Source organism: Homo sapiens, chromosome 8 (assembly GCF_000001405.40).
Source record: "Homo sapiens chromosome 8, GRCh38.p14 Primary Assembly".
NCBI classification, from domain to species: Eukaryota; Metazoa; Chordata; class Mammalia; order Primates; family Hominidae; genus Homo; species Homo sapiens.
In genome coordinates, this window is record NC_000008.11 from 109,330,648 (window position 1) to 109,347,505 (window position 16,858).

Here is a 16,858-nt window from a genome sequence, read left to right on the forward strand (position 1 = left end):
TGTTCACGTCCCTTGTACTTAAAATGTGGTACACATACGCCATGGAATACTATGCAGCCATAAAAAGGAACACAATCATATCCTTCAAAGGGACATGGAAGGAGCTGGAAGCCACTGTCCTCAACAAACCAACGAAGGAACAGAACACAAAACACCACATGTTCTCACTTGTAAGTGGGAGCTGAATAATGAGATCACATGGACACAGGGAGGGGAACAACACACACTGTGGTCTGTCAGAGAATGGGGTAGGGGGAGGGAGAGCATTAGGAAAAATTGCTAATGCATGCTGGGCTTAATACCTAGGTGATGGGTTGACGGGTGCAGCAAACCACCATGGCACACGTTTACCTATGTACCAAACCTGCACATCCTGCACATGTACCCCGGAACTTCAAAGAAAAAAAAAAATCGGTCGGAGCAGTGGCTCAGGCCTGTTAATCCCAGCACTTTGGGAGGCCGAGGCAGGTGGATCGCGAGGTCAGGAGTTCAAGACCAGCTTGGCCAAGATAGTAAAACTCCGTCTCTAATACAAAAATTAGCTGGGCTTGGTGGCGGGCACTTGTAATCCCAGCTACTCCAGAGGCTGGGGCAGAGAACTGCTTGAACCCGGGAGGCGGAAGTTGCAGTGAGCTGAGATCGCGCCACTGCACTCCAGCCTCAACGACAGAGACTCCGTCTCAAAAAACAAAACAAAAACAAAAAGAAACAAACAAAAATTAGCTGGGCATGGTGGCGGGCGCCTGTAATCCCAACTACTCGGGAGGCTGAGGCAGGAGAATCGCCTGAACCCGGAAGGCAGAGGTTGCAATGAGACGAGATCACACTACTACAGTCCAGCCTCCGCAATAGAGCAAGACTCAGACTCAAAAAAAAAAAAAAAAAAAAAAATCTTCAAATGGCACCTGATATCCTGCAGCTGTACATCCCAAACACAGAATCTAAGATTAACGCTGATGAAATGAGTACGGAACAAGGACAACTTTGTGAATTTTTTCTAAAGTTAAAGTATTCAATGGATTGTTTATTGTGAGATTTTGCTTCCTGCTTTTTTGGTGTTAAAATATCCTTTTGTTTATGAAAAGATAGATGAGTAAATGATAGTTTTTAAGAAACATCTCCACCTAGTAAACAGAAAAGTTGGCAGAACTACAGCAGCTGAGTTTTATTTTATATTGTAATGGCTCAATACAAAAATGTCAGGGAAACACTGAATGACCGGAAATCCAAGAAATCCAAAAGGCAAACAAGGCCCTCACTGATTTATTTCCTCTCACTTTCCCAGACGTTTTGCTCCAGCAATATAAGAGTGCAAGGATGTCCAGCATACAACCTACTAATTATTTCCCTTTCCTCATGCTTTCCCATGAATGGAATGACCTCAACAATTTCTTCTCTTCTTCATATACTCATTTTATTGAATACATCCTATGTGCCAAGCACTAGATATAGGGTAGTGAACAAAAGAAAAACATCACTGTTTTCAAGGAACTCATAGTCTAGTGGAGGAAACAGACAACAAATCAAGATAGAATTTAAAAGGCCGATAAGTACGTCTTATGGAGAATGCAATGACGAAGCCCAAAAGTGAAGGCAGGAAGGCTAGTCAGGAGGCTACTAGAGTTCAGGTAAGAGATAACTCTGATTTGGATTAGGGTGGAGGCCTAGAGATATCAAAATGTGGAGCTGACCGGACTTGCTACCAAGCAGACAGTGGCTAAAAGAAATAAACCCCAAATGACTCTGGCACAAGTGTCTCTTGGTACCAACCTGGGCTAGTCTAGTCGGCTAAAGGATAAGAGACCACACGGAGAAAAGTCAAGAGGAGACCATGTGAAAGAATCTTAAACAAGCTTATAGTCTGAGACCCTACCCCCACCCTCCAAACATATGAGGAAGTCCAGCCAAATGAGCAGAGCTTCCCAGCAGATCCATTACTGAACAAGGATGCATCAATGAGCCCAACTAGGACTAGAAGAACCACTCAGCTGACCCGTAGACTTGTGAGCAATAATAACTGCTTCTTGTTTTGAGACACTGAATTTTGGCTTCACTTTCTAATGCACTAACTAAACATGGTGATACCATCTACTGACATGGGGTGACTGGAAGAAACACGGTGGCAAAGAGGAAAAGGAAAAAAATAAAAAGAAAAATCAAGCTTATCCTCTCTCATCCTAGTCAACTCTTAACCTACCCTTCAAAGCTCAACTTAGATATTAACTCCTCCAAGACGCCTTCCCAGATCCCCAGACTAGTTTAGGAAAGATATTCAAGTACTACCATTGTATTTTGTACATATCCCTATCACTGCCTTCCCATATTGTTTTACAATTATCTGTTTACAATTTTCTTCCTAACTAGCTAATAGTCCTCTTTTGTTACGGAAGGTGTCTTGTTCATTTTGATATTATCAGGACGTAACACAAAACAGGTACTCGGTAAATATTTCTGAATTTAATAAATCAATTAGCATAAACTTATTTTATACTTTAATGTCTGTTATTATAATTAACTGTAGATCACTATTTCTCAAAGTGTGATCTCTGAAAACATGCATCAGAATCAGCAGGGGTGTGAATTTTAAAATGCAGATCTCTGGGCTCTATCATAACGAAAATGCCGTTAAGTTGTAAAAACAAGAGTAAGGATATTCTACCAGCTACAGATAAAGCAAGGAGTAGCAGTGTGGGAGTAAATCCACTTTTCCTCACTATCTTCTAGAGATGTTCTCTACCAGAGTTCTTAATGTGCCAGGAACTGAGTAATTAAAAATGCTATGACTGGAATGTAGTTTCTCTTCTAAGAAACGGCTCTCGGTCAGAGGAAACAGGAACTGGGGGTCCTCCAAGGAGGTGTGGTTTCTCAACGCACACGTTCACAAGCGATGCTCCAGGAGGAAGGAATGTTCTCAGCGTCCCCCGAAACAGAAGCCAGGCTGTGGACACACAGCAGCCAGAGCCCCAGGCACTACCCGCACGCCAGCCCTCAGACCTCAGACCTCAGAGGCTGGGCTGCTGACGGAGGGGGCCCAGGGTCCCGTTACCGAAGAGCGCGCGAAGGCGGCTCCCACCGGGTTCTGGGATGGGCATCATTCCCCAGAAGCAGCGGCCTCCGTGAGTCCACGCAAGCCGCCACGGTGGCTTCGCTTGCCAGTCAGAAAGAAAGAAATTGCGGGAAGGGTCAGGCCGGAGGCAGCCGAAAGGGGAAAGGAACGGAGTACGAAGGGCGCCGCCGCTTCCCACCTGCGTCAAGCTCCAGCTGGTAACAAGGCAGCGGCTCAAGAGAGAGCTTGTAACCCTCGAAGCGGGGATCCAACAGAGGTCTCTTCACCCGTAGGGAGCAATTAGCCGCCACCTCCATCGCTTTCCAGGGCCGCAGCGTGAGAATTAATAAAGCCCTTGTTGAAAGGTCCGCGCTTCACGCCTCGCACAGAGACTGGGAAGCGGCGTGGTTCCCATCCCAGAAAACACTGCGGTGCGAACTGCCTTCTGGGAAATGTAGTGTCCGTGAAAAAGTTGAGACTGTTGCATGCTGGGCTATGTAGTTCTCCTGGTACTTAACGCGCGCGCGACGGCAAGGTCTGAACTCTGTTACCCAGAGGCCCTAGCAACCAGGAGGCGGCCCGCGCTGGTTAAATTCTCACATTATAGGCAGGGTGGCGAGACCCCGCCCCGGAAATGCGTGTTCTAGCTTTCTGTGTGCTTAGGTGCCCGAGCTACTGAGGGTCTAAGTCCGGGCAGCCGAAGAGTGTGGTAGGTAACGGTCCTCAGCGCAAGGGTCATTTCGTCGCTGGGAAGGGACGGCCCTCGCCCGCGGTGATGGTGGTGAGCTATGCCCGTGGTCCTCAGGGCCGGGACCCGGGCCCAGCCCAGGCTCCTTTCGATGTACTGTCTTTCGTTAGCGTCCCCGACCCGCGCTCGCGGGCCTGTAGGGCTCTCCGACAGGGCGTGCTACCGGAGTTGGCCTGAAACCAGTCCTCGCTTTGTTTTCTGGCTCCTCCTCTCCCGCCTCTCCCGCTGTCTCCGCCCTGTTCTATTTTCCCTAAGAATGTCTGAACTGGGAGGGATACCCTAGCGCCCTTGTTTTACCAGTGAGAAAACTGAGGCCTTTAAGAATTAAGTGACTTGTCCAAGGTCACTATCCGTATTTTAGGAGCCAAGACGAGATCAAGTTCAATATTCCAGGAGTGGTACTGACTAGACCTTGTAGTTATTTTGAAAATGTTAGCCTCCAATTACAAAAGCAAGCATTTCCTAGTTCTCACTCAACTTCTCCTTTTCCCTGTTCCTCTCAAAAAAGAAAAAAAAAATCAACTCTGGTAACTCATTGCCAGTCTGAATTTTCAATAGGCCAGATGGAAGACAACAAAAGTAATCTCAAGTTAGTGACAGATTAGGTGGGAAAACGTTAGTTTACGCCAAGTTTTATTTAATTTAAACTTTTAAGTGGCTTTAACGCTTTCAAAACCTAACTTTCCTCTTCTTTCAACATCATTTTGGTTTGGGTTGTCTGTTTTTACTGACAATTGAGGACTTTGTAAGTTAGGAATTAGTTTGAGATTTGTTTTCTTCTTATCCCACCAGCAGTGTGTGTGTAAACACACACATCCACACACTTAGGTTTAGCAGTTGTAATTGTGGGTTCATCCTAGTGAAGAGTAAAGCAAAACACTTAGAGCCTTATCTAGTAATTTTATTTTTTTTGATTAATTAATTTTTTTTTTTTTTTTTGAGACAGAGTCTTGCCCTGTCACCCAGGCTGGAGTGCAGCAGCGCAATGTCGGCTCACTGCAACCTCTGTCTCCTGGGTTCAAGCGATTCTCCTGCCTCAGCCTCCTGAGTAGCTGGGATTACAGACACCTGCCACCAAGCCCAGCTTATTTTTCTATTTTTAGTAGAGACGGGGTTTCACCATCTTGGTCAGGCTGGTCTTGAACTCCTGACCTCGTGATCCACCTGCCTGGGCCTCCCAAAGTGCTGGGATTACAGGTGTGACCCACTGTGCCCGGCCTGGTAATTTTATTTTTTTACTAATAGTATTTAATCTTTTTTTGATGTTTAGTATGTATGACTTCTCCCAATTTTTGGATGCAGTCTCTGCAGAAGTGATCGGCAGTTATGTTCAGTTTTGGAGCTCCTAGGGTCAAAGTACTTGAGTTCAAATTTTGCCTTTCCACTTTCTATCTCTGTGCCTCAGTTTCCTCATCAGTAAAATACAGATTATTTTATTAATATAAATATGTAACAATACGTTCTGGGAATTAAATGTGATGTTTAAAAAAAAGCAAACCCACACTGCATTAGCCCAGTGCCAAGCACATAAGTGTTTAATAAAGAGTAATGATATTATTAACACACTTGAAATGTATCACCCCTTCAGTTAATAGAATGGTAAACATGTTAGGATGCCTGCCTAGAGGATTTAGCAGAAAATGCTTTGTAAATGTTCTATATCTGAAAGTACATGTTGATGTCCAGGTTAGCAAGATGAACAAAGATGCGCAGATGAGAGCAGCGATTAACCAAAAGTTGATAGAAACTGGAGAAAGAGAACGGTAAGTAATAGATTGTGTTAATAAATTACATTTCACCGCCTTTAATAGTTAGCTTGTAAGAATCTAAACAAGAAATGAAACATGTCACTGGAAAGAATTACAATTGAGATTATAAAAGTTTCTATTCCGAACATCTGGAAAAAATAATTTAGGTTTGTTAAGTATTGCAGGACTTGGAGGGAAGTGGTGATGTAGAAAGATGAGCAAGATATGGCTCTTAAAGAGTAATTTGATGGAGAAGAAAAAGTACATACCTGAATTACAACTGGAGACATAATGTTACCTGGGTTTTAACAGGGAGACAATGTTGTGGAACCAGCTTCATTTACCAAGCTCTCAACCTTGGAGCAGCAAGTGCTGTTTCCACTCTCTAAAACATTCTTCCTTCTCTTCCTTTTTAGCTAATTCTAGCTCAACTATCAGGTCTAATTTATATATTGTCTCTTCAAGGAATGTTTTTAAGTCCCAAATACCTTGTTCCATCATAGCATTTAATCAACATTGTGTTCTAACAATCTACTTGGCTAGTTTGTATCCTCCAGTATAATCTAAGTTCTTTAACACCAAAAACAACATTGTATACCCAGCATCTAATGCTTTGTTTGGTTCATAATTGGCCACGTAAATATTTGCAGAATCAACAGGTTTAGAAGTACAAAGAAGGGGCTGAGGAATCAAGAAAGGCTCCCAGAGGCAGGGTTATAAAGTGAGTAAGACAAATATGTATAAGGAAGAGGCAAATATGTATAAGGAAGAGGGGGAATCTTTCAACTCAACCCGGGCATTCAGGTGATCATGTAAGATCTCACACAATAAGAAAAAGAGGTGCATCTGTTGCTGACTTTATTTTTGGATGATGGGAGTCATTTAAAGTTTTAAGAAAGGAAATGACTAGATCACATTTACACTTTAGGAATCTTACTCTGTTGGTGTGGAGCTTGGACTTGAAGGGGACAAGATAGATGGCAGAAAAATGAGGTAGAAGATTATATAGGGTTGAAAATGGAAAACTCCAAAAATTGGAAGGAGACCTTAGAATTTTAATAAAATGTAGAAACAGCAACCCTCAAAATGAGGAAGGAGGCATCGATAACTGCCTTGGGTAGCTTTAGAGGATAGTACTGCTGGTAAGGAGTACGGATTGTATGTTGTTTTTTTTTTTTGTTGTTTGTTTTTGATTCATGCAGCTTCAAGTTACTGAGTTTCTATCATATGCCATGCCCTGTTAAGGTGTTGGAGGTAACAGTAGTAGACAAAAATGGAGACTTTGTTTTCACAGAGCTTGCATTCTAATGGGAGGAGACAGATAAAACTGTGTAATAATGTCAGATGGTGATGAGCACTAGAGGAACAATAAAGCAGAAAATAAAGAGGTGTAATATTTTAGATAGAAAAAACAAAGAAGAAATCAGAAGGAGGCCGTGCATAGTGGCTCACGCCTGTAATCCCAGCACTTTGGGAGGCTGAGGCTGGCAGATCACAAGGTCAGGAGATTGAGACTATCCTGGCTAACATGGTGAAACCCCATCTCTACTGAAAATACAAAAATTAGCCATGCATGGTGATGGGCTGTAGTCCCAGCTACTCAGGAGGCTGAGGCAGGTGAATCGCTTGAACTCGGGAGGCGGAGGTTGCGGTGAGCTGAGATCGCGCCACTTCACTCCAGCCTGGGTGATAAGAGTGAAACTCCGTCTCAAAAAAAAAAAAATCAGAAGGATATGAGGGTGAGCAGGGACTCTTTAAGTTCCTGAGATAGGAGCTTGCCTTTCATTTTTGAGGAGCACAGGGATGCTAGGGAGACTGAGTAAATTGGGTGAGGGAGAGTGGAGATTAAGTCAGTGGCATAGCTGGGGAGAAGGCAGATCATGAAGGATCATGTAGGCTGTAATAAAGTCTTGGAGTTTTATTCTGAGTAAATTGGGAAGGCACTGGAGGTTTTTGAGCAGCAGGAGAAGAACTAAGTGTACAAGGGAAGAAGCAGGGAGACAACCTAGAATGCTATGGTAATATTCTAGAGAAGAGATGATGGCTTGAACTAGAGTAGTAATGGCGGAGATAGTGAGAAAGGTGAATTCTAGGTATATGTTTTAAATTGAACCCAATAGGATTTGCTCATAAATTGGATGTGTAGTGTTAACAAGGCAGCTGAGTGGAAGGATACTACAGAGATTCCTAGTCTGAGGAACCAGAAGAATGGAATTGCCATTCTCAGAAGAAGAACAAACAGGATGAATTGGTAGAAAATCAAAAGTTGGATTTTGGCCCTATTAAGATTGAAAGACCTAATTAAATATTAAGATGAGAATGTCACATAGTGGATGTCTAGGGATAGTGAAAGTGGTTTGCAGGGAAAGAGAATTTGTTTGGGATGTGACATTTTTAACCTGAGAAGTTAAATGATTTAGGTTGAGGATTGAAGATTTGTAAAAGTGGATATGGCAAAAGGATAAGAAAATATTTTATTGCACCTGTGATGCCATTAGTTGCATATACACTGCCACTTTTTTGCCATCGAGAGAAAGAAAACACTGGGGGCATGCCAATTACTGAATCGTTAAAATGTGGGGAGAACAACGGTCTTACAGTCAATGAAATACCATTGTCATTTTGTAGTTTAGAAGGGCCTGATAGGCTGGGATCAAAGAGGTGGGTAGCCTGTGAAGTTAGAGGTAATGGGGGAAATAGTAGAGCTAAAGGGTAAGAAGTTGAGGTTAAAGAATGGATTTTGGAATTTGAAGATTTCGAGGTGCAGCTGCTCCAGGTTCAGTTAATACTTTCTAGATGTTGTACAAGACCCATGATATTCCTGTTGGTAGAGGACGGTGGAGAGTATATAACGTGGCCAAATAATAGAGCTTCTTGAAAAGTATTTTAGCCCCTCCACTTCATTTAATTTCACTCATTAAATGAGACCCAGATGAAATGAAAGGCCTAGAATTTAAGTACTTGCATGAGATCAAAGAACTATTTAGCATTTGAACCAAGATTAGGCCACAGTTAAAGTTTTGTAACTGGAAGGCAGGGAATTTTTAGTTGAACACTGAAACTTTGCTTCATACATTCCTGTCTAAGATGTTATACATTGTTCAATTTGAAAACACTTCTGTTTCAACAGCCTCAAAGAGTTGCTGAGAGCTAAATTAATTGAATGTGGCTGGAAGGATCAGTTGAAGGCACACTGTAAAGGTAATCAGTTTCATTTGGAAGATAAACTAATCCCATTTTTCTGATCAGGATTGGTTTGGGGGTTGCTTATTTTAAGGTATATTGAGTATTCAAGCATGATTTTAAACAAATATGGAATTTAATCTTGTAATGGTTTCCTCTTGGTGGCATATGTAGACCTAATTCCCAAATTTTTAGAAATTTTCTGTTTCTGTTAAGCGTGAGCACTTAAGATTTTCTCTGGCATCAGAATATGGAATCTCATGTCTTTCAGCAACTTTATTGTTTCTTATGTTTTAACTTAAATGGAACACTTTAGGGTTGGCAGACTTATAGAAATTATCTCTTTCCTGTCTTTAACAGTGAATATTTGAAAAATTCATCTATGAAAGCTCTTAGAATGCACTTAAAAAAAAAGTAGAAGGGAAGCTTATTAAATTGCTGGGTATTGTTGATGATACCATTTGATGGATTATACATGTCACTAAGGGGAGCCTCCTTTCTGTCTCAGCTTTTGATATAATGGAACTCTGGATATTTTTAATGAATCCCCATTGTAATGGTTTCTACAAATAAAAATAAACTATATGTTAACTGTAAGAAGGCAATGTGACAAATTAGTAAAAGCATAGACTTTAAGGTCATATAGATTTTCATCACTGAAAGAATAGAGCTGGATTTCAACTCAGGGCTGGATGACTTATTTAAGCCTCAGTTGCTTCACCTGTGAAGTGGGAAAATGCCTAGCCCATTAGATCATCGTGAATATTAAATGTTGTAAAGCACCTAATAGAGATCTAGTAAATGTTAATTAAAACAGTTAGTTATAAGTTTTTGGCATTTTACAGATGTTAGATTTGAATATTACAGTCTAAATTTATTGTAAGTGTCACAATTATTTAGTTGCTGGTTATTTAGCTGAGACTTACGAACAACTTTTATCTTTTAGATCTAAAGAATACTTGATGTGTTTGTAAGGTTGAACTAAATTTTCAGTGTCCTTTTTTTAAAAAAACCAGTCTACACTCTAAAAACATGATCTTAACCCTTCCTCTATGAAAATCTTTCTTACAGATAATGATTTTAAATGATATGATTTGTTTTTTGCTTTTGCATAAGAGGTAATTAAAGAAAAAGGACTAGAACACGTTACTGTTGATGACTTGGTGGCTGAAATCACTCCAAAAGGCAGAGGTAAGGAATACAGAGTTTGTTAAAGGAAACATGCTGCAGACATGATTTTTTTAAAATCTCTTGCTGGTTCAGATTTTCTTTCTGTTTTTAAGGAAAAGCACTACCTGTGTTGCCTCTTGTAAAGAGTTAAAATTGCCTACCTGCCTCCTAGCATAGTCTGGGAGTAACAAATGAGATACTAGGTTTCAGTGTTCTTGTACTCTAGAACAGTGCACCAATGCAAGTTGATACAGTTGTTCAAGCAAATAATTTTTAAAATACGGGATTCTGCAGTGTCAAATACTACATGAAGCTAGGATTTATAAACTTTATCAGATATGGCATGACTCCACTTAAATATTTAATAATTCAAAGTCTTATTCCAACCCCTGAGTCATTGCCCCTTTATCTCATTAAAAATTAATGAAGGTCTGTCTTAAATGTCTACTTAAGAATTTGGTAGCTCCATGACTTCATGTTCAGAGTAATTCATATTTAAGACTCACAATGCAACCACCTTCTTAATTTCAACCTTTAATGCCTTGTTTACAGAAGGCAAAGTTAAGATGGGAAATATTATGTTAAAACTGATGATGTGTAGTAAATGTTGTCAGGAGCTACATCATTGTTATCTTAGATATAACTACATTATTTTCATTTACTTTGGTAAAGTTGGGGTTGTAACTGGAAGGTAAATTAGATGGCCCAAGTTGTTTTCTCACACAGAAATTGTGAAAAGAATTTAAGTGTAAAAAGTAAATAAGTTTGAAAATTATTACTACAGAACATGAATTTTTGAACTCCTCCCTGCTGGGAATAAGCTATAGAATCCCATGGTCCTTGTCAGCCATCTCTTTAGGCCTGTTTACAATTGAAAAACATGACTTTTTCTTCAAGTATGTCTCGGGGAAAGGAAAAAAAATTATTATTCCCCTTATGAATTTATATTTTTAAATTTCTCTAAATTGATTTTGTTTTTGTTTTCTTCTGTGACTTACACTTATTCTGTTAACATTATTTAGGAACCAGCTATACAAGTTAGAAACTATCCTTTGCTTCTCCTTCGATACTTAAAACCTTGGACATTTCAATGTCTTGTAGCTCCCCTGCTAGAGAATGAGCAAATAAAAGAGAAGTAAAAATAGATATTTTAATTTATGTTCTTAGTCTTCTTACTGTTGTTAAGAGAAGACATACTTTTTAACACAGTAAAATTGTCGTTTTTTAGTGTGCAGTTCTGTGAACTTTATACATATGTATAGGTTCGTGTAGCTACCACCGTCAGGATACAGAACAAACAGTTCCCTCACCACCAAAACCTCCCTCATGGTATTCCTTTATAGTCCCATCTTATTTCAAGGCAACTCACTAATCCTGTTCTCAATCACCATAATTTTGATTAAAATTATTTTTAGTATACATATTGATTACATTTCCAGTGGACTTGAATTAATTATATAGTCTTGATTTGTAGGTTGGCTTAAACTAAACAGTTTGTAAAGAAGAATATCTGGCTTATTTGATTTGTATAACTTTTTTATGGAAATACTGAACTGTATCTGAAGTTTTCCATTTCCCCAGAACACAAGTAAATACGTTAGAAGTTTTAGTTAACCCCCCCCTTTTTTTTTTTTTGCATTTATGGTTTAATATTCTGAATAGATAATAGTCAAATGGGTCAAAAGTATAACATATAACAGTTGTAATTTTTTGGATTTTTACTAGCTCGGAGTGTATATATGTGAATTATTTCAGTAAAATACAGATTACCTTCTAAAACATATACCAGTTTATACTCCACGTAATATGAGAGTGCTCCCTTAGTCTTGCCAACACAATGTTGCCAACAGTGTGTATGTATACATATATATTTTTACATATGTGTATACTTAAAATATATATTATGTATGTTTATATAGTTTATGTATGTATATAAATGTATATTTTTATATATGTATAAATATATATACCCTTTTTTTTTTTTTGAGATAGGATCTTGCTCTGTCACCGAGGATGGAGTGCGGTGGCATGATCATGGCTCACTAGCCCGGATCTCCCAGGCTTAAGTGATCCTTCTCCCTCAGCTTCCCGAGTAGCTGAGACCACAGACACACACCACCATGCTCCACTAATTTTATTTTTTGTAGAGACAGGTTTCGCCATGTTGCCCAGGCTGGTCTTGAGCTCCCGGACTCAGGCAATCCTCCTGCCTCAACCTTCCAGACTGCTGGGATGACAGGCGTGAGCCATCGTACCCAGCCAACACAGTATATTATTGACCTTTGTATTTTTGCCTATGATTGGTAAAATATGCTATGTAAATGTGGTTTTAATTTCATTTGTCTTCTGAGATGGGGACCCTTTTATGTTCAAAAACTCTCCTTTTCTTCATCTCTTTTGTTCATGTTTCTATTAGCCTTTTGATCTTTTCCTTATCAGTGTGAAACAACTGTATAGTAGAAAGATCAGCCCTTTTCTGGAAGAACATTTCCTCAGTTTTTATCTTTTGGCCTTGCTTATGGTGATTTTTCATTCAGCATAAATTGTTACTATGTTTTAATCAAATTTATCCATCTGTTATAGCCTCTGTATTTAAAAATGGTCTTCTTTACTCCTAAAGAATTTTCTCACGTTTTCTTCTCATCAACATGCAGTGCATTTAGGCATTGGATAGTTCATTTAAAATGATGAATTGCAAGAAGACACTTTTCTTTGTCAGATAACTTTACCTTTTTTTTAATTGAACATGAGGGTTATTTATGAAATTCTTATGTTGTTTACCCTGAGCAAAATGTCAGATCTTAAATTCTCATGTATTAATTGGTACCTTCTTACTCTTATTTTTTTATTTTTGTTTTTCAGCCCTGGTACCTGACAGTGTAAAGAAGGAGCTCCTACAAAGAATAAGAACATTCCTTGCTCAGCATGCCAGCCTTTAAGATTGAATTAGATTGTGTTGTTGTGGTTTTATTTCTGAAAGTAAAACTTGCCATAAATTAGAAAACAATTTCCCAAAATAAAATCCTTTTTTGTATGATGGTATACAGTTTTCAGTAATGATGTATACATTGTATTGATTTTTTTCCCTAAATGTGTTATTTTAATAAATATCTCATGAATGAGTTTGAAGTTTGCTTGGATTTTGAAATGAATGGGACTTTGTCTTTATTACTAATTCACCAAATTTGTTGAGCGCAAAAGCAATTAATGTAGTTTAAGTATTTAGTATGTACAGTTCTCTGTGTTAACAGCTGAGAAGTAAGCAACCTTTTCTGACTGCATATGGTGTATTCCTCTTTTGAGTCCCCATAATATTTTATAAATTGTAATGCCCCATCTTGTACTACAGTTGTCTTATTCGTATTGTTTATAAACTTTGAGGGTTAGGACTGGGTCTTACTCATCTTTATGTGCCTTCCTTATGCTTCAAAGAATTTACCATCTAATGGAAGAGAACATTTGCAAGTTGGCTCCATACCAAGCTCCTTCCACATACTCTACTCATCTGAACTTTGAATGCAGAATCTTTAAATTGCAACCCCACATACTAAGGTCAAGAAAGAACTTAATGGGAATTAATCTCCACCCATTAGCTTTACCCTGACATCAGGATTGCCAAATCCAATGGACTCTTGTCTATTCTTACGTGACTTCTGCTGGAAAATGCGAATGTTGACCATCCTGCCACTTGGAACTCTCTTCCCACTCCTCACATTGCTTTTGCTACCACTGGAAGTTCCTTCTGTTTCTTGTGGAGTACCTTTTGCTGTCTGGGACTTGTAGATAATGGTGTTTCCTAGGGCTCCCTCCAGGGCCCTCTGCCTCACTAACTGGATATACTTTTCCTGAGCAAATCCCAGGAAACTTGCGTCAGACCGTGACTTCAAATACAGGTTGATAAATGCTAAACTGTCTCCAAACCAGACTTCATCCTAGCCTCCACACCCAGACACCCAACTGCTATGGATCAACTTTTTAGAATATCCTCACTTCAAACTGACCTTACCTAAAATAATGACTTTTTCCCCCAATAATTGCCCCTGCTATATTCCTTATTTCTGAATGGTACCTCCTAGCTATATAGATTATCTGAGGAGCTTACTGAAATGCTGATTCTGAAGATAAGGGGCATGGCTTTAAGATTCTGTATTTCTGGCGAGTACCCAACTGGTGCTCATGCTGCTGATTGAGAACCACTTCTGAATATAGCAAGGCTGTAAATTATCCACTACGTGCCCTCGTAATTGTCTTAGTTCAAGCCCAGATTATTGTAGTAGACTTAGTATTTCTTTGCCTTAGTTGATCTGTGACCCCTCCAATATCTATTCCACACTGTTGCCTAAGTGGCCTTAGTAAAATTCAAGTCTGGTTATTTTATTCCCCTGCTTGGAATTTCTCAATGTAGAATGAAACTCATTCAGCATTAACACATAGGCCCTTCTTGATCTGACATCGTGTTTCTCTAGTTAGACTAAAGAATCCCCACTATGAAGTTGTTTCATCCGTAAGTACCTTTGAACCCAGAAGCCCCCTTTCTCATATGTTTCTCATTCCTGTTTGCCCTTCAGAGTTCAGCTTTAGTTGCTAAAACATTCAGACATCCCTCTGACTTAGATCCCCCACTACTGTTTTTCTGTGAGAAGCAGCTATGCATAATTCCTCTTCAACACAGTAGTTCTTGAAATTTTGCAGGCCTCTCCTGGAAAGGAGGAAATGACTTCTCTGACTTTGTATGATGCTTATTTGTGGATGAATGGGCAAGGGAAAAAATGAAGGAACAAGTGAATGAACAGTATGGGAGTATGAGAAAAGGTATAAATTGGGTATAGTTGAGAAAAGGATTCAAATTGATCTTTGGTTCGAGAGACAATTTCATCTTTCTGATGAATTTAAAGTGTAGTCTTTGAACCAGCTGGGCTTAATTATGTAAAGTTTTGAGCCTGAGATAAGCACACAATCACAAAACCTACCCAAACAAGTTTTTTGTTTCACTTCATCTCTTATAAAACAATGTTCTAAAGTAAGTGATAGGGATGCTCATCATTCTGCTACCTATTATCACAATGAAAACAATCATAAATAGTACACAGGAAAGGTGAGAAATAGCGGATAGTTCTTATTTCATAGTACTGTATATGGAAATAAACCAAATTTGCTCATAGAGATACTATTTTATTACCTCAAAAATATATAAAAATGAAAACGTTATGAAAATATTTTAAAATGGGATTTAAAAATAATTGAGAACATCACAGCAATTTAGAATACTAAAGAGCATAGCTTTAAAATGATAGTGCTGAGAACTCCCCACCTCTACCCCACCACCTGTAGGCTTCTTTGACAACTTACAAATGTTCTCTAGTTTGTATCTAGAATCACTTATATCTTTCAAATAAACCAACTTTGTGAACATCTTGACTCACATGATTGATTTCTGTAAGCTAGGAATATATTCTTTAAATTCTTGCACGCTTTCATGCTTAATGTTGGAAATTCAATAGGATTACTGTTACATGACTGCACCAGGTGAGTAAAATACTAATTAGGATTACTGTAAGCTGCTCGTATAGGATTAAAGAAGACCCAACTAAATTATTTATGTAATCACTTTGCTTTGGCATTATAAGTGTATCATTTGGTTGAGCAGTGCCAAGCGAGGAAATGGGTGATGCTGGGGATTGGTAATTGGATATGGGACTTTTCATAACTTGATCAAAAGCTCCATCCAACTGAAGAGAGCTGTGACAGCTGTTCAGTAGCTGATGTTGGAAATGATCCAGTGTGTGGGTGCGTGTGCGTGTGTGTTTAAAACCCATCTTGTAAATAACTCGTGTTACTCAATGACTTCATAAAACCCCTCATATTTACCATTAGAAACCACACGAAAGTCATTGGATGAATCTGCCAAGAAAACTAATGAGTGCAATTAATGCAGGTTCCAGTCTCATCTCTAATACTGAATTACCAGGTAAGACTGACCCTTCTGCCTCAGTTTCCTTGTCTGCATAATAGGTCTGATAGTGCTGACCTGGAAGGGATGCAAATAATAAAACAAATATTAATAGAATAAACAAAAAGTAATATGGATTCATGTTATCTTAGAAATAATTGAAAAATATAAAATTATTTACAATGTGTTTTCTAGTTGTACAGAGATACAGTACATGAATTAAACTTGTGTGGAAAATAGCTGCTTTTATTTTTTAGGAATTTCTAATATTAATTACCATAAGAATATCTACAAAAATGAAGATGACCAATGTAACTTGATTGAAATAGAATAAATATAACTATAGTAGCACTTAGCAGGGAGGGTTGAAATTATCTGTAGTCATCTCGCCTTTATTCTGTTATGAACTTCTCTATGACATGGACTGTATCTTATTTATCTTTGAATTTTCAGTGCCTAATAAATTATTGGTAAGTAAGTAAGTGGCAAAAGAGAAAAATTTGGCTTGTGCCAGTTTATTCCAGGCTTCAAATTATATTTGATTATTCTGTTATCAGCCACAAGAGGGCACTTGAAGCCAGTATTTTGGTCCTCCTTGGGGCTCTAACTGAATTGTGTGTTCATTCAAACAGGTCCGCTTCTGATTAAGGCCACCCAGCCATTTACTTTTTCAAGATGAAAGTGTTACTGAATTAAATCTTAATGTGAGGACTTCAGAAAGTGCTTCTTGTATAAATTAAGATGAAGCTACTGTGAGATGTAGATGTTGTTTAGCTGGGATCGTTTTCTGAAGTCAATTCAGCAATTCAAGCAAGAAGATGATTTAAATAGCATACACTGCTACTGAAATAGTCTATTTCACTTACTTTATCAACAATAATAATAATAATAAGCACAGTAAATTCTTAATAAAAATGAAAGAAAAATAATTTTCAGTGTTTATTTTCCTTGCTGTACCTTTCTCATAGCCTTTTTTAAAGGTAATAATATTCATATTTTCCTTTTTAAATCTG

The 16,858-nt window shown here is 38.7% G+C and overlaps 2 protein-coding genes across 5 annotated transcripts in view, besides 5 other annotated features; one reads left to right on the forward strand and one right to left on the reverse strand.

Annotated features, from left to right (window-relative positions):
- Positions 1-3,440, reverse strand: part of NUDCD1 (NudC domain containing 1) — a 93,169-nt gene extending 89,729 nt beyond the window's left edge. Inside the window, exon 1 of the mRNA NM_032869.4 lies at positions 3,246-3,440. Within this exon, the coding sequence (NP_116258.2) occupies positions 3,246-3,363 (118 nt within the window). The 5' untranslated portion in view covers positions 3,364-3,440. The remainder of the gene's footprint in view (positions 1-3,245) is intronic.
- Positions 3,132-3,181: an enhancer, noted in NCBI's record as "active region_27804". NCBI's record gives its function as "activates an Ori minimal core promoter by ATAC-STARR-seq in GM12878 lymphoblastoid cells {active_cell/tissue: GM12878}" and the evidence as "EXISTENCE:reporter gene assay evidence [ECO:0000049][PMID:35858748]".
- Positions 3,312-3,361: an enhancer, noted in NCBI's record as "active region_27805". NCBI's record gives its function as "activates an Ori minimal core promoter by ATAC-STARR-seq in GM12878 lymphoblastoid cells {active_cell/tissue: GM12878}" and the evidence as "EXISTENCE:reporter gene assay evidence [ECO:0000049][PMID:35858748]".
- Positions 3,544-4,466: an enhancer, noted in NCBI's record as "H3K27ac hESC enhancer chr8:110346420-110347342 (GRCh37/hg19 assembly coordinates)". NCBI's record gives its function as "activates a minimal SCP1, AML or CMV promoter by ChIP-STARR-seq in primed H9 embryonic stem cells {active_cell/tissue: H9 hESC(primed)}" and the evidence as "EXISTENCE:reporter gene assay evidence [ECO:0000049][PMID:30033119]".
- Positions 3,700-15,307, forward strand: ENY2 (ENY2 transcription and export complex 2 subunit). 4 transcript variants are annotated; one of them, NR_036472.2, is made up of 5 exons: positions 3,700-3,827; positions 5,481-5,557; positions 8,673-8,743; positions 9,797-9,916; positions 12,758-15,307. NR_036472.2 is itself a non-coding variant. In NM_020189.6 (5 exons), the coding sequence occupies exons 1-5, from the start codon at positions 3,822-3,824 to the stop codon at positions 12,832-12,834; spliced, it is 306 nt and encodes a 101-aa protein (NP_064574.1). In that variant the 5' UTR covers positions 3,700-3,821; the 3' UTR covers positions 12,835-15,307. The 4 variants fall into 4 exon arrangements, 2 of the variants coding, with proteins under 2 accessions (NP_064574.1, NP_001180486.1); NR_036471.2 differs by having other exon boundaries at positions 9,844-9,916; NM_020189.6 differs by having other exon boundaries at positions 9,842-9,916.
- Positions 3,732-3,981: an enhancer, noted in NCBI's record as "active region_27806". NCBI's record gives its function as "activates an Ori minimal core promoter by ATAC-STARR-seq in GM12878 lymphoblastoid cells {active_cell/tissue: GM12878}" and the evidence as "EXISTENCE:reporter gene assay evidence [ECO:0000049][PMID:35858748]".
- Positions 16,403-16,502: a silencer, noted in NCBI's record as "silent region_19469". NCBI's record gives its function as "represses an Ori minimal core promoter by ATAC-STARR-seq in GM12878 lymphoblastoid cells {active_cell/tissue: GM12878}" and the evidence as "EXISTENCE:reporter gene assay evidence [ECO:0000049][PMID:35858748]".

Bases quoted from the DNA above. Each gene is read 5' to 3' on its own strand.
- ENY2 (NM_020189.6), top strand. The intron at 8,744-9,841 runs GTAATCAGTTTC...CTTTTGCATAAG, and splicing joins GTTGAAGGCACACTGTAAAG to AGGTAATTAAAGAAAAAGGA. The intron at 9,917-12,757 runs GTAAGGAATACA...TTTGTTTTTCAG, and splicing joins AATCACTCCAAAAGGCAGAG to CCCTGGTACCTGACAGTGTA.